The sequence below is a fragment of the Homo sapiens genome, chromosome 1 (assembly GCF_000001405.40).
Source record: "Homo sapiens chromosome 1, GRCh38.p14 Primary Assembly".
Classification (NCBI taxonomy): Eukaryota; Metazoa; Chordata; class Mammalia; order Primates; family Hominidae; genus Homo; species Homo sapiens.
Window position 1 is genome coordinate 12848721 of NC_000001.11, and position 21014 is coordinate 12869734.

At 44.5% G+C, this 21014-nt stretch overlaps 1 protein-coding gene across 2 annotated transcripts, besides 1 other annotated feature; it reads left to right on the forward strand.

Moving 5' to 3' along the window:
- The first annotated feature begins 8365 nt into the window (after window positions 1-8365).
- On the forward strand, window positions 8366-13189 carry PRAMEF2 (PRAME family member 2). Of its 2 annotated transcripts, NM_023014.1 has the most exons (4): window positions 8366-8427; window positions 10265-10576; window positions 10973-11551; window positions 12501-13189. In NM_023014.1, the coding sequence occupies exons 2-4, from the start codon at window positions 10290-10292 to the stop codon at window positions 13057-13059; spliced, it is 1425 nt and encodes a 474-aa protein (NP_075390.1). In that variant the 5' UTR covers window positions 8366-8427; window positions 10265-10289; the 3' UTR covers window positions 13060-13189. The 2 variants fall into 2 exon arrangements, with proteins under 2 accessions (NP_075390.1, XP_011540306.1); XM_011542004.1 differs by lacking the exons at window positions 8366-8427; window positions 10265-10576; window positions 10973-11551 and adding an exon at window positions 11734-12027.
- Window positions 10483-11682: an enhancer, noted in NCBI's record as "CDK7 strongly-dependent group 2 enhancer chr1:12919058-12920257 (GRCh37/hg19 assembly coordinates)". NCBI's record gives its function as "activates an origin of replication core promoter dependent on BRD2, BRD4, P300/CBP, MED14 and CDK7 cofactors, with strong dependence on CDK7, by STARR-seq in HCT116 cells {active_cell/tissue: HCT116}" and the evidence as "EXISTENCE:reporter gene assay evidence [ECO:0000049][PMID:35650434]".
- Window positions 13190-21014: the final 7825 nt, after the last annotated feature.

The window sequence follows — 21014 nt, forward strand, 5'->3', positions numbered from 1 at the left end:
CTCAGACCTCAGGAAGAGCCAAGCAGGAACTCCAGGCTTGAAGACTTTGAGTCTGTCCTGTGGGTCTTTAGAAGCTTTTATTGACCTTTCTAATCACAACTCCCACCCACGCCCCTCCACATATCCGCTGCTAGCTTCCAATCAAAAAGCGATATCTGATTGCATTTCTGAAGCTCCACTCAGTTAATCCTGATTGGGTTTTTGGCTGTCCGAAGACTAATGGATTGAACCAGGTATCCATTCATATCACATATGCATATTCATTTCATGAATTAAGAAATTGACAGCGTTAGGGATAGAGTGGAAGTCAAGAATTCATTCACTCAAGGCCAGATGAGGTGGCTCACACCTGTAATCCCAGCACTTTAGGAGGCCAAGGTAGGTGGATCACCTGATGTCAGGAGTTCAAGACCCGCCTGGCCCACATGGTGAAACCCTGTCTCTACAAAAATAGAAAAGTTAGCCAGGCACGATGGTGGCTGCCTGTAGTCCAGCTACTCATGTGGCTGAGGTGGGAGAATCCCTTGAACCCTGGAGGCTGAGTTTGCAGTGAGCCAAGATTACACCATTGCCCTCCTGACTGGGTGACGGAGGGAGATTTTGTCAAAAAAAAAATGCATTCATTCATGAAATCCACAAACACTGATGGAATTTTACTGCTATGTCGCCTTCAGGTCCTGAGTGTGAGGCAGGGAAGGGGTTGATCTGTTCCGGACATTAGACAGAAAAATAAAACCTGAAAGTAGTGTTGTGGGGAGATCTTTGGCCACATCAAAATTATAAAAATGCTTTCTAGTTAAAACAACTTTATAAAAACGGAGTCATCCCTACAAAATAAGAATAAAGATCTCCATGTATGGAATGGTCTTGTGGGTTTTATATCACCTAAGGTAGCAGTTTCTTCACTCGTGCTGGTGGAAGAGAGGTGCCACTCAGGGCGTGAGTGGTCTCAGTGCTTAGGTTAAGGCTTCTTTGGAAGAAATTGAAACGATACCTATAAACTTTATAAATTTAATCAGTGAAGAAGGGAGGGGGAGAAACAAAAATAAACCAAGCTTGCAGCGCATTCAGCATTCACCATGAGGTCAGCTTGCTCTCTGACCTTCTTCCTCATGGTTGCTGGCAGCCTACTGTCCCCAAATCATTTAGACCTTAGATTACAGTTCCCCTTAACTGCCCTGCAGACAACAATTTAAGCCTTGTAAAACATTAACTTTTTCATTTGAGATATTCTTACGTTCTGCATGTCAGTGAAAGTACTGATGCCAGCTGATCTGAAGGGCCCTACAAGGCACCAACGCACCAAAGAATGCAGTTTTGACATCCTGATGACTTCATCCCTCTTAACTCTATATCAACTTTCCAGCCCCTTGCTATCCAGGATCCACTGGAAACCCTCAGTGGATCTCCTCCTTGGGGAGATGAATTTGAGGATCTCCTCCTAGCTTCTCATTTAGCCACCCTGTGATCATTAAACTCTCTGCTGCAAACTCTGCTGTCTCAAAATATTGGTAAGCTACTGTGCAGCAGGCATAGGAATCTGATGGTCCTGTAATAAAATCATGTCAAAATTGCAAAAGGAAGTGAGGGTAGAGGATGGGCTTGGTTGAGCTTGGTGTTTTAATGGGATCCTGGGAGTGAACCAAGACTTGGTAAACATGTTGGGGGTTACTGAGGGGGTGGAGGAGGAATCTATCCAATATTTCACTGATGCCCCTTTGGTTTTGATTATTAGGACCAAGGATGAGCCTTTCAAAACAATTTATATAATCCTCCTTATTTTTCCTTTCAAAACCTTCATCTTCTATTTTTCTCCCAAAATAATCTCACATCCATTCCCAATGCTTTGCTCATTTCAGGATAAACATCTTTTTTCTTTTTTTCTTACACAGTCTCCTTCTCTGTTAAGTAGACCATATATTTTGTTGCCACAAAATGTCATTTGGACTGCTTCAAACACAGGAATTTTCTGAATTTCATGTGAAACCCCTCCTCAGAAATATTTTCCTTACTCCAGGAGATTTGCTGATATATCAGGTTGGGGTGTAAACTGGATATGGCAGCCCTGGTACCACCAACTCTGTACCAAAGTCTACATTGATCTGGATCTCAGCTTCTCCATTTTTTATTTAAGGGTATTATAGAAAATAATTTACCAGAGAGTTATTTGAAGTTCCATCAATATGGAGCCATCAGAAATGTTCTCTATCCAGGTTCGGTGGCTCGTGCCTGTAATCCTATCACTTTGGGAGGCCAAGGCCGGAGGATAACCTGAGGTTGGGTGTTGGAGACCAGCCTGACCAACACAGAGAAACCATGTCTCTACTAAAAATACAAAATTAGCTGGCTGTAGTGGCACATGCCTGTAATCCCTGCTACTTGGGAGGCTGAGACAGTAGAATCACTTGAACCCGGGAGGTGGAGGTTGCAGTGGGCTGAGATTGTGCCATTGCACTCCAGCCTGAGCCACAAGAGTCTGGGACACCACCTAGATTAGACCCAGTTACACTAATGTTTCCTATGCATAGAGATAAGTTACCAGTAATGAAATCAATAATAGTCATAGGCCACCCATTTGCATCTATAGCTTCTTCTCAGTGCCGAGTCATTTAATCATAAATATTACCCAACCGTGTGTGAGAGCAGGTTCTACTATTAGTTGTGATCCTTCCTATTCATCTAAATGACTCCATAGGCAGCAATTGCTTTGGTTAGTGATAGTGGCTAAATTTTGAAGAGGAGACCTTAGAAAGTGTTTGCTTTGACTGGTGAAAGTACGTAACAAAATAAAATGTAGGCTTGATCATTTTGTGTTAGTACAAAACAAAACCAAGTCTCAGTCAATGGAAGGAGATCGAATGGAGTTTTGTTCCATTTTCTTAAAACAGCTGTCTACCATGTGATGATGTCTGCTTGTAAGAAAGGCTTTTTTCCTTGGTTATCCTTAATTTTAAGTCACCTGGTATGGTCTCATCCAATGCTGCTCATGGGCAGATTTCCCTTAGGGCCATTTTAAAAGACACAATCTCCAAATGGTAGGGCATGAAGGTCCAATCATCATTAAAAGCCTCCTTCACCTACTGGAAATAGTCTTTGAAAGGTCTCGTGGTACTGAGTCATATTGTTACTGAATGATGAGCTCACTCTCCTAAGTGCATAGAACCCAATACTACACCACCATGGTTTGAGAAAAGCAAAAAAGGCTGGGCACGGTGGCTCATGCCTATAATACCAGCACTTTAGGAGGCCGAGGGAGTCAGATCACAAGGTCAGGGGTTTGAGACCGCCTGGACAACATGGGAAAACCCTGTCTCTACTAAAAATACACAAATTAGCTGGGTGTGGTGATCCATGCCTGTAATCCCAGCTACTCTGGAGGCTGAGTCAGAAGAATGGCATGATCCTGGGAGGCAGAGGTTGCAGTGAGCTGAGATTGCACCTCTGCAGTCCAGCCTGGGTGACAGGGCAAGACTCCATTTTGGGAAAAAATAAAAAATTATTAGGAGTTAACTGGACCGGGCACAATGGCTCATGCCTGTAATCCCAGCACTTTAGGAGGCCGAGGCGGGCAGATCACAAGGTCAGGAGTTCCAGACCAGGATGACCAATATGGTGAAACTCCCTCTCTACTAAAAATACAAAAATTAGTCAGGCATCGTGGTGCACGCCTGTAATCCCATCTACTGTGGAGGCTGAGGCAGGAATCACTTGAACCCGGAAGGCCAAGTTTGCAGTGAGCTGAGATCACGCAACTGCACTCCAGCCTGGGCAACAGAGCAAGACTCTGTCTCAAAGAAAAAAATAAAAATAAAAATAAAAATAAAAAATAGTTAACTGACAGGGAGACAGGAGACAAGTTCCAAGCCTGTCTCCCCAATCTGGGGATAGTGGAGCAAGCTCACATGGCCTTTCCAACTGGTTTCAGGTGATGCCAATTCAAACAGTCAGCCAGGCTGTGTTAACAGTTAAGAGGTTAAACCTTTTTCCCATCGGACATGCCTGAGCAATTTAGGCTTTGCAACTTAAGCAATGGTTAATCTGTTGGAGTTGAACCCCTGGTTACACAGTCAGAGCTAAAATGTGCAGGGGATACATGAGGTTCTATTATCAAAGGCATAGGTTCTCCAGTAAATACTTTATGATCGGTGCTTCTGATTGTAGTTGGTGAAAAAAAATACCTTATGATGGGTCTGGCTGTATTTTCCCATAGGGGTGGTAAAAATTATATTAAAGTAAGCCAGTCTTACTGGGCGTGGTGGCTCACACCTGTAATCTCAGCACTTTGGGAGGCTGAGGCTGGCGGAACACTTGAAGCCAGGAGTTGACCAGCCTGGGCAACATGGTGAAACCCCATTATCTACTAAAAATACAAAAATTAGCTGGGTGTGGTGGCATGCCTGTAATCCCAGCTACTTGGGAGGCTGAGGCATGAGAATTACTTGAACCCAGGAGGCAGAGGTTGCAGTGAGCCGAGATAGCACCACTGTACTCCAGCTTGGGCATCAGAGACTCTGTGTCAAGTTTCTCCAGAGGTGCACCAGAAAGGAAACACATTTTATAATCATTTATTCACTATGACTATGGCATCAGCCTTTCTAAAAAGGTAAGCTACAACCCATCCTGAAAATGGACACACAATCACAAAAATTGTAGCCTTTTTACATGGCTCACTGTCATCATTGGTCCATGACATTCCCTTTTCTTGCCGCTATATGTGTGTATGTCTACATATTCATATCTATATCTACACCTATTTTTTATTACCATGATTCACTTCCACTCCCCTTTCCATAGATAGCCACTCTACTCTTTGACATAGCCTTGAATTTGCATGTGACCTCTTAGAAAATAAGTATATAGAAAGTATATGGAATATATACTTGAAATTTGTATGTGTATTTATATTAATCCACATATATGCTATAGTGTAGGGTGCTACAGAAGAGGGCCTGACAATTAATTGTCCAGTCCTAGACACTTTGGAGAGTGAATGGACATGCTGTTATAATTAATTATTTTTTTTTGGAGATGGAGTCTCACTCCGTCGCCAGGCTGGAGAGCAATAGTTCCATCTTGGTTCACTGCAAACTCTGCCTCCTGGATTCAAGTGATTCTCCTGCCTCAGCCTACCGAGTACCTGGGATTACAGGTGTCCACCACCATGCCCAGCTATTTTTTGTATTTTAATAGAGAGATAGTTTTGCCACTTTGGTGAGGCTGGTCTCGAACTCCTGACCTCAGGTGATCCGCCCACCTCACCTCAGGTGATCCGCCCACCTCAGCCTCCCAAAGTGCTGGGATTACAGACGTGAGCCACTCCACCGGGCCTTGTTATAATTAAGATTTTCAGAACAACAGGGGTGTATGAAGGCTTATAATCACCTTTACCATAGACCTTGGTCTCTCACCTAAGTTTGTAACTAATATATTTTTCAAATATAATAACAATAAAAATATCCTTGCTTGCCCTATGTCAAATCCAGCTCGAAGTACTTAAATAGATTAACTTATAACACTCTGTGAAGTCAATATTGCTATTATCCCATTTTATATGTGAATGAGCTAAGGCACAGAGAGGTTAAGTAAGTTGGGTAAGACCACACAGCCATTGGCCACTGAGCCAGTTTTTTTTTTCTGGGATGGAGTCTCGTGCTGTCGCCCAGGCTGGAGTGCAGTGGCGCGATCTCGGCTCACTGCAAGCTCTGCCTCCCGGGTTCACTCCATTCTCCTGCCTCAGCCTCCCGAGTAGCTGGGACTACAGGTGCCTGCCACCATGTCTGGCTAATTTTTGTATTTTTAGTAGAGATGGGGATTCACCGTGTTAGCCAGGATGGTACTGAGCCAGTTTTGAACCTAAATTAAACAGTCTGGATCTGCTGGATCTGGAGTCTTTACTACTAACCAAAATACCTACGTGCCTTCAAATCCTAAGTTGCTGAGGGTCTTACCTTGTTTCATATCTCACTAGGAAGGGAGCTAATGTTTATCCATTACATCTGATGTTTAATGCAAGTTTTCAACATACAACATCTCATTTTCCAAAATATGCTATGATAAATTTAATTTGATTTTTCTTCAATTCCTTTCTGCATTTTGTAGGAACCTTGCTTTTCCCCCTTTAGTTTGTCAGTATGCTGAATTACACTTAGATTTTTCTGTGATTGGCTGGCATTCCTGGAATGGCCATTATATATTACTATATTGTTTTCTTTCTTTCTTTTTTTTTTTTTTTGAGCTGGAGTTTCACTCTTGTTGCCCAAGCCGAAGTGCAATGGCACGATCTCGACTCACTGCAACCTCCACCTTCTTGGTTCAAGCGAATCTCCAGCCTCAGCCTCCTGAGTTGCTGGGATTACAGGCATGCGCCACCACACCTGGCTAATTTTGTATTTTTAGTAGGGATGGGGTTTCTCCATGTTGGTCAGGCTGGTCTCGAACTCCAGACCTGAGGTGATCCACCTGCCTCAGCCTCTCAAAGTGCTGGGATTGCAGGCATGAGCCACGGAGCCTGGCCTGTCTATCACTTTCTGATGCAGTGTTGCATTTAGTTAGCTGGTAATTTATTAAGTACTTTTTTCTGGCTGACCGTGGTGGCTCATGCCTGTTTGCCAATCATTTGCTGCCAGAACATGGGCAGATTTTTCTCTGGCCAAGTCTCAGGTTTATCAGGTTAGAAATGGGGAAAATAGCAACGTGCCTTAGATTCTCCATGAGGAAGAGCTGAGGTCCGGGATGATCGGTACCAGCCATCTGTTGTGCCTCGTGGATGCTCAGTGAACACAGATTCTCACAACCATTATTGGTGCTGAGCTCACCCTCAGCCTCAGGTTTACAAAGTGGGGCGTGGGAAGTAGAAGCCTCACTGGGCTCAGGTGATCCTCCCACCTCAACTTCTTGGGCAGCTTGGCCTACAGGTGCACACTGCCTCCCCCTGGCTAATATCTTGTATTTGTATTAGAGACAGGGTTTCATCACATTGCCCATACTCCTCACAAATTCCTGAGCTCTAGCACTCTGCCTTTCTTGGCTTCCCAAAGGGCTGGGATTGGAGGCCTGAGCTTGCTTGCTTTCCCTTCCCAAGTGTGGCCCCGATCTTCTCTCTGGCCTCTGCTCCAGCTCACATTCTCAGATTCCATCTTTGCAAGCTGGTTTTCTGAGAGGAGCCCATCATTTTTGTGGGTAAACACCCTTTACCTTCTAGTAGGGCCAAGACTATACCTGCCCCCTGTGTTCTCAAAGCCAATGTTATGGTTAAGAGTCTGACCTATCTCTTTTGATGATTCTCCTTTGAATTTCTGAACTCAATCTAGGGTGTGTGAGATGGCTGATGCCTGTAATCCTAGCACTTTGGGAGGCTGAGGTGGGGAGATCACTTGAGGTCAAGAGTTCGAGACCAGCCGGGCCAACATGGTGAAACCCCATCTCAACTAAAAATACAAAAATTAGTGGGGCATGTTGGAGCGCACCCATAATTCCCAGCTACTCGGGAGGCAAGGTGAGAAAATCGCTTGAACCCAGAAAGTTGAGGTTGCAGTGAGCTGAAATCATGCCACTGCACTCCAGCCTGGGTGACAGATGGTGGCCCAGTCTGAAAATCAAAGAATCAATAAATAAACTCAATCTTGACAAAGGACTTTCAGTCCTGACATCTAGATGCCCACAAGATAACCACCATGTTTTACATTGTCTTGTTTCCTTTGCAGGTTCCCATTAGAAAACCTAGTCTCATTCCACTCAGTCCGCACCTCACTTGGTCATTTTGTCCTGATTTCCTTCAGTGAAGCCTTGACTTAGTCTTGAGATAGATCACACCCTCAGTGGTTCCTTTCTTCTACCTGAATGTGCATATGATCTGCTATGTTAGATAGCATAAAACACAGGTAACCATTCGATATACACAGCTTTTTATTCTGTTTTCTTGGGAATGACATCACTATCTTCTTCAGGCTGTTGTAGCTCTGAAACATTTTGACAATTTTGATGTGGCCAAACATCCTCCAATAAGGACACCTTAAGGTTTTTTTTTTTTTTTTGTCTGATATCAGGAACAGATTAATCCCTTCCCTGTATCACTATGAAAGTCATCTATTAGCCAAACTTCATCAGTATTTGGGGAATAAATGAATGAATGAGTTTTGGACTTTCACCCTATTATTTATTCTTTTACTTCCATAAATGTGTATCTAATTCGATCAATTAGTCAGAAGAAAGCTGAAAACTCAATCAGGATTAACTGGGTGTGACTGCAAGATCTAATCAGGTATCACTTTCTGATTGGAAGCTGGTGATTGAGAAGGGAAGGGTGGGGTTAGAAAGGTCTATAAAAGCTCCTGAGGGTACCCAGAAGAGACCCACAGCACTCACACCTGAAGCTACTGGTTGGTTCCCTGAGAGGTCCCAGAACTCTGCAAAGTGAGTCCAGCGCTGGTAAGTCACCACCTTCTTAGGGTCATGCCCATCTGATCAGCAGCCAGCCAGTCAGGGACGGTGACACACATCCCAAAGTGGCACACAATATTTTTCTGTCTGTTTTGTGAGATGAACAGATTTAGGCTTTCATTTTTCCTCTAAATGTAGTTTTGTCTTCATCCATCAGATTGTGATTTGTGCTTGGTTTTTGTCATTTTAAAATTCTTATGGAAGCAGGTTTTTTAAAAATATATTAAAACTTTACAGTGACATGAATTTTTATTTCTTGACATTTGAAGTTATTTGTTTTTGTGCCTTTCAATTACAGTTCATAGACTTGGTGTTATTGTGATCCTCCAAGTATGCTTTCATTTTCATAAAATCCTTAAAGGTATCCCACACACCAATCTCAAGAGTGCAGTTTTGCTCAGATTGTGGGATTTATTTTTGACCCTAGGATCGATCCATCAAAAAGTGGGTAATTGTGAGTATGTGGAAGTGATGTCTATAGGAACCTTCATCTTAGAGTTACAGTGCTCTAGAATAGCATGGTAGCACTTTTACAGTTTCTGGTTGATTTTTTTTTTGAGATGGAGTTTCCCTATTGTTGCCCAGGCTGGAGTGCCATGGTGTGGTTTGGCTCACTGAAATTTCTGCCTCCTAGTTACATGTGATTCTCCTGCTTCAGCCTCCTGAGTAGCTTGGATTACAGGCACTCACCACCATGCCCAGCTAATTTTTGTATTTTTAGTAGACACAGGGTTTTGCCATGTTGGCCATGCTGGCCTCAAACTCCTGACCTCAGGAGATCTGCCCCCCTCAGACTCCCAAAGTGCTGGGATTACAGGAGTAAGCCAGCATGCCCAGCTACAGTTAGCATTTCTATACATACCTTCCAAATGCTGTGGAATACCATCACACCACTTTTACAGTTCCAGTGAATTATTTTGTTTTTTTCTGCGATGTACTCTGAGTGCGTCACCCAGACTGGAGTGCAGGGCCCTGAGCTGGGCTCCCTGGAAACTCTGCCTCTGGGCTTCAAGTGATTCTCCTTCCTCTGCCTCCAGAGTAGCTAGGATTACAGTCATGCATGACCACACCTGGCTAATATTTAAATTAATTAATTTATCAATTTGTTTATTTTTGAGTCAGAGTCCAACGCTGTCACCCAGGCTGGAGTGCAGTGGTGTGATGTCGGCTCACTGAAACCTCTGCCTTCTGGAGTCAAATGATTCTTAACTTTTGTATATTTAGTAGAGACATGGTTTCATTATGTAGGCCCAGGCTGTTCTCGAACTCCTGACCTCAAGTGATCTGCCTGCCTTGGTGTCCAGCAGTGTTGGGATTACAGACATGAGCCACAGCACCTGGTCCATTTCTGGTAGAAAATTTTCAAAATAAAAAATAATGGCATCGATTTTAGGGAGTCCCTTTAGTGTTCCCCCAGCATGTTCATGGTGTGAACTGAGAATGGAGGCTGTCTGGGCCCACGGGACACTCTCATTCTCAATGCTTTAGGGTGGTAAGTGACAAGAAATTTTTCCTCAAAGAGGTAGAGCTTGGCTTTCAGGATCCTCAGTGGCACTGTCCAGTGGTTCTGGGATTCAGTGGAGCGAAGGATGAAAATTAATGGGTCAATGGTCTCTTTGACCCCTCCCTCCTTGGTGTTTGGAAGATATTCTTCCTGGTACCAGCAGAAGCAGAAGTATAGATTTGAGGCCAACAAGCACAGTGGAATTGGGGTAAAGTGGTAATTTTTCTACCTCTACCAGAGCAATGATATTGGTCCTAGGAGAAGATGAGGTGATTGTGTTTGCCCTGAGAGTGATACATTCTCCCTGGATTTGTCTTCTAGAGATTTTTCTTGCAGATCCATCAGGATGAGCATCCAGGCCCCACCGAGACTACTGGAGCTGGCGGGGCAGAGCCTGCTGAGAGACCAGGCCTTGTCCATCTCTGCCATGGAGGAGCTGCCCAGGGTGCTCTATCTCCCACTCTTCAGGGAGGCCTTCAGCAGGAGACACTTCCAGACTCTGACGGTGATGGTGCAGGCCTGGCCTTTCACCTGCCTCCCTCTGGTATCGCTGATGAAGACGCTTCATCTGGAGCCATTGAAAGCATTGCTGGAAGGGCTTCATATGCTGCTTACACAGAAGGATCGCCCCAGGTGAGGTGACCCAGGAGGGCTAGTAGATAGGGCTCAGGTGTCCAGGGAAAGAACAGCAGGGTCAGGCAGAGAAGTAACCCAAGTGCGGCCCAGAGTCTTCTGATGGTGTTGGCGAGGAAGCTCAGGGAGGCTTTGGCCATTGTCCAGATCCTCAGAGAAAGGACTGCTCACCATACAGGGTCCACTGTGGGAACAGAAGCCGGCCTTTACTCAGTGGAAGGTAAAGGGAATAGAAGTGGGGACCACTCAGAATCCAAAGGGAAAAGGGATTGAGAAAAGACAAAGAGAACAGGGAGCACTGAGGACAGGAGCAGCTGATTTATGGGATGAGAATGAAAGCAAAGGTCAGGGATGAGTCCCTCTAAATTCTGAGCCTCTCCCTTACTTTACCCACAGGAGGTGGAAACTTCAAGTGCTGGATTTGCGGGATGTTGATGAGAATTTCTGGGCCAGATGGCCTGGAGCCTGGGCCCTGTCCTGCTTCCCAGAGGCCATGAGTAAGAGGCAGACAGCAGAGGACTGTCCAAGGACGGGAGAGCACCAGCCCTTAAAGGTGTTCATAGACATCTGCCTCAAGGAAATACCCCAGGATGAATGCCTGAGATACCTCTTCCAGTGGGTTTACCAAAGGAGAGGTTTAGTACACCTGTGCTGTAGTAAGCTGGTCAATTATCTAACGCCAATTAAATATCTCAGAAAGTCATTGAAAATAATATACATTAATAGTATTGGGGAGCTGGAAATTCACAACACGTGCTGGCCACATCTGATAAGAAAGCTTTATTGTTACCTGAAGGAGATGAAGACTCTTTGCAAACTCGTTTTCTCCAGGTGCCATCATTACACGTCAGATAATGAACTCGAGGGATGGTTAGTCACCAGATTCACCTCTGTGTTCCTCAGGCTGGAACACCTCCAGTTGCTTAAAATAAAATTGATCACCTTCTTCAGTGGGCACCTGGAACAGCTGATCAGGTGAGAAAGGATTGTGCACTTTGTATGCAGACCACAGCACAGACTTGTTCTGTTACAGCAAACATTAGAAGGCGTGTACTGTGTGCCAGCCAGTGGCAACGTCACAGTGAAGGGAACACCAGAATGTCAACACATTGTCCCATTCAGTGTTCCATGTCCTGGAGTGGCTATCACAGGATCGCTCCAATAAGGGCAGAGGGGTCACCTGGGGTAGAAGCTAGAGAGGGACATCATGTACAAGCTAGTCAGTGGGGGTTTCAGCTCTATTGGGGGTGCACGTGTGAATTTCCTGTTACAAAGTGTGTTTCAAGTTGATATGATGTCAAAGAGATAATAGAGGAGGGTATGAAAGGAGGGAAAGCGCATCAAACCTGTCCATTTCACAATAGAACGTCTGTCCTCACCGGCTTAGTGATCACGAATGATCCTGTCTTTAATTCCCTGTCTGCAAAACGTTGTTTTGAACTCCAGGAAAGGTAATTGACATGGGAAATGCGTGCTTCCGGGATGGAGGTGAGGGAGTAGGCGTGAGAGTGGTAAAAAGTGACAGTTGGTTTGCAGATGCAGGCATGTCAGGGAGCCCCTGCCGACATGTAGCCCTAGCTGATGTCCCTAGACCTTGCTGAGTTGAGTTCTTTGTTCACATCTCCCACGGGGTACCTGTAGCCCAGAGATGAAGTTTTCTGCTAAAAGATGAAAAACAAAAAGGCTTTAGAGATTTTATGGCCTTGACCCAATCACACAAGCAATGGTGAAAGGGCTGAGGCTAAAATGGGACAGCCCCTGAACGATCAGGGTCCTCATCATGCAGCAACTTCCATGAGGACCATCATCAGATGGTGGGAACAAACTTGTGTTTGGTTGAAGCAGGTATTTTCCTTGAGGTTATTCCCCACTACCTTCATCTAACTGGTACCATTGCCCAGAACTAACTTCTTGATCTCCACAGGTGCCTCCAGAACCCCTTGGAGAACTTGGAATTAACTTGTGGCAACCTATTAGAAGAGGACTTGAAGTGTCTCTCCCAGTTCCCAAGCCTCGGTTACCTAAAGCATCTGAATCTCAGCTACGTGCTGCTGTTCCGCATCAGTCTTGAACCCCTAGGAGCTCTGCTAGAGAAAATTGCTGCCTCTCTCGAGACCCTCGTGTTAGAGGGCTGTCAGATCCACTACTCCCAACTCAGTGCCATCCTGCCTGGCCTGAGCTGCTGCTCCCAGCTCACCACCTTCTACTTTGGCAGCAATTGCATGTCTATTGACGCCCTGAAGGACCTGCTGCGCCACACCAGTGGGCTGAGCAAGTTAAGCCTGGAGACGTATCCTGCCCCTGAGGAGAGTTTGAATTCCTTGGTTCGTGTCAATTGGGAGATCTTCACCCCACTTCGGGCTGAGCTGATGTGTACACTGAGGGAATTCAGGCAGCCCAAGAGGATCTTCATTGGCCCCACCCCCTGCCCTTCCTGTGGCTCATCACCGTCTGAGGAACTGGAGCTCCATCTTTGCTGCTAGGGAAGGCGTGCCCAGTGGGGTAGAGAAATCCAAAGTTCTCTTCCAGGCACTTGGACACTAAAATCTACTATGTAGGTGCAAACTATTTTTCTCTTTTCTTATTTATTTCATTTTTTAATAATTCCAAAATTTTTATTAAAGACAATTTGAGACAGGGTTTCTCTGTGTTGCTCTGGGATCCTCCTGCCTCAGCTTCCTAAAGTGCTGGGATTACTGGCATGAGTGACTGTGTCCAGGCCACATGCAACTTAAAGGAAGCACAGGCAAGTGCTCAGTGTGAGAGAGAAAACATAACAGCAGGGGGCAAGGCTGGAGGAAAATGTTGAGGTGACATCAATGAGAACTTCAGGGACCCGTGTCCTACAGAGTCGGAAAGAGAAGCTAAAGTTCTACAGTGATGAGAATGTTATCCCTGCAAGGATGGTTACCAAGGAATATCAGAAATAAAGAGCACCTGAATGAAAACTTTTAACGTGTTGTAGCAATTTATCCACCAGAAATATCTAGTTATTGAGTTACTGATGGAAAAATAATGAAATACTACTTTGTCTGTGATTGAGTTTCAGCTGTAGAACATCAAAGCAACCAAATAAAATTTGATCATTTTAAGTATTTCCCACCCATTCTTGTTCTTTGTTTTGTTTTGGAGACAAAATCTCAGTTTGTCATTTAGGCTGGAGTGCAGTGGTGCAATCTGGGCTCATTGCAATCCTTTCCTTCAGGGCTCAAGTGATTCTTGTGCCTCAACCACTCAATTAGCTGGGACGGCAGGCACGTTTCACCAAGACTGGCTGATTTTTGTATTTTTAATGGAGATGAGGTTTTTCCATGTTGATCAGCCTGGTCTCAAGATCCTGGCTTTGAGTGATCCACTGACCTTGGCCTCCCAAAGCGCTGGGAAAACAGGCATACAGATGATTTCCACCCATTCTTTACTTCTCTTCAGTCATCAGTTTTTTTCTTACTTTTTTGCCCAAGGGGAGCAGCTCGGTCAGGCGCGAAGGGACGGGCAGAGAGGGGCCCCAAGGAGAAGATAGGAATGGGGTGGTGCCACGTTCGCACAAGATGTGCGGATGCCAGGCCCAGAAGGCATAGCTGGGGCCATCCATCAGGGGGCCAGGGTGAGAAGCAGAAATGGCACCTGTTTCAAGGACCTGGCCAGCTATCTGGCCACTGTGCCCATCCTGCTAACAGTGTCAAGCTCCCAGGTCTTGAAGGGAGGGTCTATGCGGATCCACCCCATGCTGTGTTTCCGAGATCCGCCCCCCATAGGAGTGACCAGCCCGATTGCTGGGCCTGGGAACTATGAACCACTCCTGGAGGCACCCCCCTTGACAGGGTCATGAGCCAGGCCTGTGCTCCATTTCCCTGAGGCAGCCAACTGTGCCACCCACACCCTCTCATTGCAAAATGGAACCTTGTCCCAGGTCTGGAGTCTCCACCACAGCCTCTACTTCACTGCTCACTGCCTGCCGTTAGCCTGCAAGCTCCTGGATGATAGTGCAGTTGGGGCTGGTTAAACCACACCCAGGAGCATTGGGTTTGTTTGTGTGGGGTTGGCCAGAGCTGCTGTGTACCTGCTTCTCAACTGTCACTTCTGCAGGGAAACACAGAGAGAGGGCACAGCCAAGGCTGCGTACACTTCAGAGCTGATGGGAGCCTGGGACAAGAGGGAGTCCTGGTCCTCCTGAGTTGGCAGGGCAGTAGCTCCAAAGACGCAACTGAAGTTGTCCAGGTCACAGTTACCAAATGAGGTCCCCCAGTACTCTCGAGGGTCCAGGAGATCCCCCCTTCTCCTGCAGCTTGGGGGTGTCCGCTCTCACTGCCTCATCTCTCATGGCACCTGCTCTAATTTTGGAGTGTGGTTGTGGTCAAGCCCAGATGCTGTCACAGCCCAGGTGGGTCTGTGCACACTCGGGTCAGTGCTGATGCACCATCCCACTGCTGTCTTGAACCCTCTGGACTTTGGGCCTTGATGAGTGTAGGAGGGAGGCTGAGGGGTGTTGCGGACTGATCAGCACTGGTCTTTGGATGCTCCTTGGTACAAGTGACCTGGGCTCCATGGTTGGTGGTGGGAAGCAGACAGAATCCTGGACAGGAAGGTGAGGGTCACTGGTGAAGCTCCACCTTCTGATCAAGGAGGGTCTGAAGCCCGTGGGCTGGGCCACCAGTCCTATGGACCAGAGTGGGAACATGTGTTGCCTTTTCTGTGCCTGCTCATGGCCACCTATGACCCAATGAGTGCATACTTTCTCCTGTCTGATGTCAAAAAAACCCCAGACTCAGGGAGAACATTAGGAAGACCAGTGGCAGAGAGGAACTACCCACTGTTGGGATGATTTTCCTGTAGAGACAAGCAACCCCCTCCGGGTCCTTTTCTCTGCTGAGAGCTGTAGAGATGATGAGATGACTTTCCTGCAGAGAGCAGCAACCCACTCCAGGGCCTTCTCTCTACTGAGAGCAGTGGTGATGATGGAATAACCTGCCAGGAGGGAGGGGTCACCCACCCCAGGGCCTCCTCTCTGCTCAGAGCTAAACACTCATCAGGACGCCCTGGCTGCAGAAAGAAGTTACCCACTGTGGGTCTCTAAGCTGTTCTATTGCTCAATAAAGCTCTTCTTTATCTCACTCACCCTCCACTTGTCTGCATATTTCACTCTTCCTGGTCACAGGACAAAAACTTGAGACCCGCCTAATGGTGGGGTAAAAGAGCAATAACACAAATAAAGCTGAAACATGCCCCTTGCTCACCAAATTGTAGGTGAAGAGAAAAAGAGAAGAGCAACTACTCTTCCAGGAGCCCAGATGTGGGAGCTTCCTGAGCCAGGGCTGTGACTCCCTTTTGGGGGTTCTGCAGTTCCTGGCATTTCCAAGCTTTCAGTGTTGGTGTCACTGTGTATTCCAGTGACAACCATGGAAGCTGTTTGTGCTGTGCCTGATTCATTTGCAGCCTTGCAGAAATCTGGCACACATGCTGGCATCTGGAGCTGCCCATCCCACTGCTGCAGCAGCAGCAGCCGGTGACCGTCCAAAGTGGCCAGACCCCCTGCTCACTCACACACCCCTCACCACTCCAGCCCTGACCCGCCCTTAATAGGCATGTGCTCCAGGCCTGAAACATGAGCCAAGCATAGTCTACCAGGCTGCATGGGCAGAACGAACCCAGTGAACCCCATCAAAACTCTGGCAAAGGTGCCCCCAGCCACAGAGGTTTCTGGCCGGAAGAGTCACATTCCAAGTATTCCAGAAGAGAAAATTACTTAAACACAAAGAAAGACAATAAGAAAAGGATGGAAGAGAGAAGTCTCTAAACAACCAAAAAACAAGGAATGAAATGGGAGCACTAAGCTTTTATCAATAAAAACAATGAATATAATTTATCTGAATTCTGCAAGTGAAAGGCAAAGGGTCTTTGAATGAGTAAAAAAATACGACCCTACTATATGCTGTTTTCCAGAAACTCAATTCACCTATAAGCATACATGTAGATGGAAAGTGATGGGGTAGAATAAGATATTCCATGCAACTGGAAACCAAAAACAGCAAGAGTAGCTGTACTTATATCAGGTAAAATAGATGCCAAATCTCACAATGCACTCAGGTAAAACAGAATACAAATCTGAGCTTGTAAAATAATAGACTACGCTTACACAAACTATGCCTAGAAAGAACATACATCAAAATAATAGAAGCCAAAAATAAATCCACATGCAACATCATATTGAATGAAGAAACGTTGAAAGTATTCCTGCTAGGAACTACAAGCAGACAAAAATGCTCACTTTATCCACTTGCAATCAACATAGGACTGAAAATGTTTGTCAGAGCAATCTGGTAAGCAAAAGGAATAAAGTATAATTAAATTGGAAAGAAGGAAGTGAAACTACCTGTGTTTGCCAATGATGTGATCATATGTGCTTAGAAAACCGGAAAGATTCCACCAAGACTCGTAGATGTGATAAGTGAATTCACTTAAATCTCAGGTACAAAATTAATATGTACAAATCAGTACCACTGTTTGATATCAACAACAAGCAAGCTGAGAATCAATTCAAGAACTCCATCCCTTCACAATAGTTGCAAAACAACAACAAAAACAGTGACAATAACAAAAACAACCTAGGAATACACTTAACCATTAGGTAAAGGATCTCTATGAGATGAACTACAAGACACTGCTGAAAAAAATCATAGACAACAAAAAAGTAGAAAAATATCCCATGCTCATGGATTGACAGACACAATGTTGTGAAAATCACCACACTGCCCAAAGCAATCTAAAACCTGCAAACATCAAACATCAATCTAAAAACGTCAGTCTAAAAATTTCATACACCAAAATACAAACACCATTTTCACAAGATTAAAAAAAGAATCCTAAGATTCATATGGAGATGAAAAAGAGGCTGAAGAGCCAAAGCAATCCGAAGCAAAATGAACAAATATGGAGGCATCACATTACCTGACTTCAATTTATACAGTAAGGCAATAGTAAGCAAAACTGCGTGGTACCAGTATGAAGGTCGAGACATAGACCAATGGAATGGAATAGAGAACCCCGGAATAAAGCCACATACTTACAACCCAGCGGTAGGACTGCTGCTTCTCAGTTTGTGCTGAGTGATGCCCCTTGGGGATATGGGGCCAAAGTTACTGGATTTTTCCCCCAAGAAAACCAGAGAGTGAATTGTGATATCCTGTGTGATTTTTAGACTGACTATTGCCATAGTGCTTAGGTCGTCTCCAGGTGCCCAGAGACTCAATCACCAACCAGTGTCCACATTCTTGTCACCGCTGCAAGAAAGAGTTTAGGAAGTAGGCAGAATGAAGCAAAAGGCAAGAAGTGTCTATTGCAAAGCAAAGGAACACACTCAAGAGAGGGCTTATTCAGGAGAGCGAGTCAGGTACAAGAGAGTTTGGGTTTCTAATTTTATAGGATCTGTAAGGAGAGGTTGAAATAATCATTAGGATTTTAAGAAAAAATGGTGAAGTTTTCTTAGAACTGAGGTGTCATTTATTTATTTATTTATTTATTTATTTATTTATTTATTTATGTTTTGAGATGGAGTTTCGCTCTTGTTGCCCAGGCTGGAGTGCAATGGCGCGATCTTGGCTCACTGCAATCTCCGCCTCCCGTGTTCAAGCAATACTCCTGCCTCAGCCTCTGGAGTAGCTGGGGTTACAGACATGCACCACCACACTCGGCTAATTTTGTATTTTTAGGAGAGACGAGATTTCTCCATGTTGGTCAGGGTGGTCTCAATCTCCCGACACCAGGTTATCCGCCTGCCTCAGTTTCCCAAAATGTTGGGATTACAGGCATGAGCCACTGCACGTGGCTAGGTGTTAACTATTTTTATACTAAATATGGGCATTCTCAGAACCGTCCTGGCGCTGGTGTGTGACTTACTGTCATAATAGGTGTATAATTAGGCCTGGGGTAGGGCAAGGGTCAAACCCAGTGCCATGTCTGACCAATTCAGTGTTAGCCAGCTTAGCCCCTTCCAGCTTGTTTGGATCTTATGGGTCAAGGCTTATTCTTATTCTTGCAGCTAATTTTACAGGCTCTTTTCTTGCTGCTATATGAAATCACTGCTTGATATTTTCATGCTTCTCCTGTGACCAGCCAGCTTTCCTATTTTATGGGTATTTCTTTTCTTCTCCCTTCCCTTCCCTTCCCTTCCCTTCACCTCCTCTCCCCTCCCCTCCCCTCCACTGTCTTGTCTTGTCTTTCTTTTTCTTTCTTTCTTTCTTTCTTTCTTTCTTTCTTTCTTTCTTTCTTTCTTTCTTTCTTTCTTTCTTTCTTTCTTTTTTCTTTCTTTCTTTCTTACTTTCTCTTTCTTTCTTTCCTTCCTTCCTTCCTTCCATCTTTCTTTCTTTCTCTCTTTCTTTCTTCTTTCTTTCTTTCTTTCTTTCTTTCTTTCTTTCTTTCTTTCTTTCTTTCTTACTTTCTCTTTCTTTCTTTCCTTCCTTCCTTCCTTCCTTCCATCTTTCTTTCTTTCTCTCTTTCTTTCTTTCTTTCTTTCTTTCTTTCTTTCTTTCTTTCTTTCTTTCTTTCTTTCTTTCTTTCTTTCTTTCTTTCTTTCTTTCTTTCTTTCCACTTTAAGTTCTGGGATACATGTGCAGAACGTGCAGTTTTGTTACATACGTATACACATGCCATGGTGGTTTGCTGCACCCATCAACCCGTCATCTACATTAGGTATTTCCCCTAATGCTACCCCTCTCCTAGCCCTCCACACCCCGAGAGGCCCTGATGTGTAATGTTCCCCTACCTGTGACCATGAGTTCTCATTGTTCAACTCCCACTTATGTGGTGTTTTGGTTTACTGTTCCTGTGTTAGTTTGCTGAGAATGATGGTTTCTAGCTTCATCCATGTCCCTGCAAAGGAAATGAACTTATTTTTTATGACTGCATAGTATTCCATGATGTATATGTGCCACATTTGCTTTATCCAGTCTATCATTGATGGGCATTTGGGTTGGTTCCAAGTCTTTGCTGTTGTGAATAGTGCTGCAATAAACATACTTGTGCATGTGTCTTTATAGTAGAAGGATTTATAATCCTTTGGATATATACCCAGTAATGGGATTGCTGGATCAAATGGTATTTCTGGTTCTAGATCCTTGAGGAATTGCCACACTGTCTTCCACAATGGTTGAACTAATTTACACTCCCACCAACAGTGTCAAAGCATTCCTATTTCTCCACATCCTTTCCAGCATCTGTTGTTTCCTGACTTTTTAATGATCACCATTCTAACTGGCATGAGATGGTATCTCACTGTGGTTTTGATTTGCATTAGAGAAATGCAAATCAAATGACCAGTGGTGATGAACATTTTTTCATATGTTTGTTGGCTGGATAAATGGTTTTTTTGGAGAGTTGTCTGTTAGTATCCTTCACCCACTTTTTGACAGGGTTGTTTGTTTTTTTCTTGTAAATTTGCTTAAGTTCCTTGTAGATTCTGGATATTAGCCATTTGTCTGATGGATAGATTGCAAAAAATTTTCCCATTCTATAGGTTGCCTGTTGACTCTGATGATAGTTTCTTTTGCTGTGCAAAAGCTCTTTATTTTAATTAGATCCCATTTGTCAATTTTGGCTTTTGTTGCCATTGGTTTTAGTGTTTTAGCCATGAAGTCTTTGCCCATGCCTATGTCCTGAATGGTATCACCTAGGTATTCTTCTAGGATTTTTAATGGCTTTAGGCCTTACATTTAAGTCTTTAATCCATCTTGAGTTAATTTTTGTATAAGGTGAAAGGAAGGGGTTCAGTTTCAGTTTTCTGCATATGGCTAGCCAGTTTTCCCAACACCGTTTATTAAATAGGGAATCCTTTCCCCATTGGCTGTTTTTGTCAGGTTTGTCAAGGATCAGATGGTTGTAGATGTGTGGCATTATTTCTGAGTCCTCTTTTCTGTTCCATTGGTCTACATATCTGTTTTGATAACTGTACCATGTTGTTCTGGTTACTGTAGCCTTGTCGTATAGTTTGAAGTCAGGTAGCGTGATGCCTCCAGCTTTGTTCTTTTTGCTTAGGATTGTGTTGTGTATACAGGTTCTTTTTTGCTTCCATATGAAGTTTTAAGTAGTTTTTTCTAATTCTGTGAAGAAACTCCATTACAGCTTGATGGGGATAGCATTGGATCTATAAATCACTTTGGGCAGTATGGCCATTTTCATGATATTGATTCTTCAGACCCATGAGCATGGAATGTTTTTCCATGTGTTAGTGTCCTCTCTTATTTCCTTAAGCAGTGGTTTGTAGTTCTCCTTGAAGAGGTCCTTCACACCCCTTGTAAGTTGTATTCCTATGTATTTTATTTTCTTTTAGCAATTGTGAATGGGAGTTCACTCATGATTGGCTCTCCGTTTGTCTATTGTTGATGTATAGGAATGATTTTGATTTTTGCACATTGATTTTGTATCCTGAGACTTTGTTGAAGTTGCT

What these genes read in the sequence shown, in the direction of transcription:
- PRAMEF2 (NM_023014.1), top strand. Translation starts at nt 10,290, where the DNA reads ATGAGCATCCAGGCCCCACCGAGACTACTGGAGCTGGCGGGGCAGAGC. An exon ending in ACACAGAAGGATCGCCCCAG is followed by an intron (nt 10,577 to 10,972) that starts GTGAGGTGACCC and finishes CTTTACCCACAG; the next exon opens with GAGGTGGAAACTTCAAGTGC. An exon ending in CACCTGGAACAGCTGATCAG is followed by an intron (nt 11,552 to 12,500) that starts GTGAGAAAGGAT and finishes TGATCTCCACAG; the next exon opens with GTGCCTCCAGAACCCCTTGG.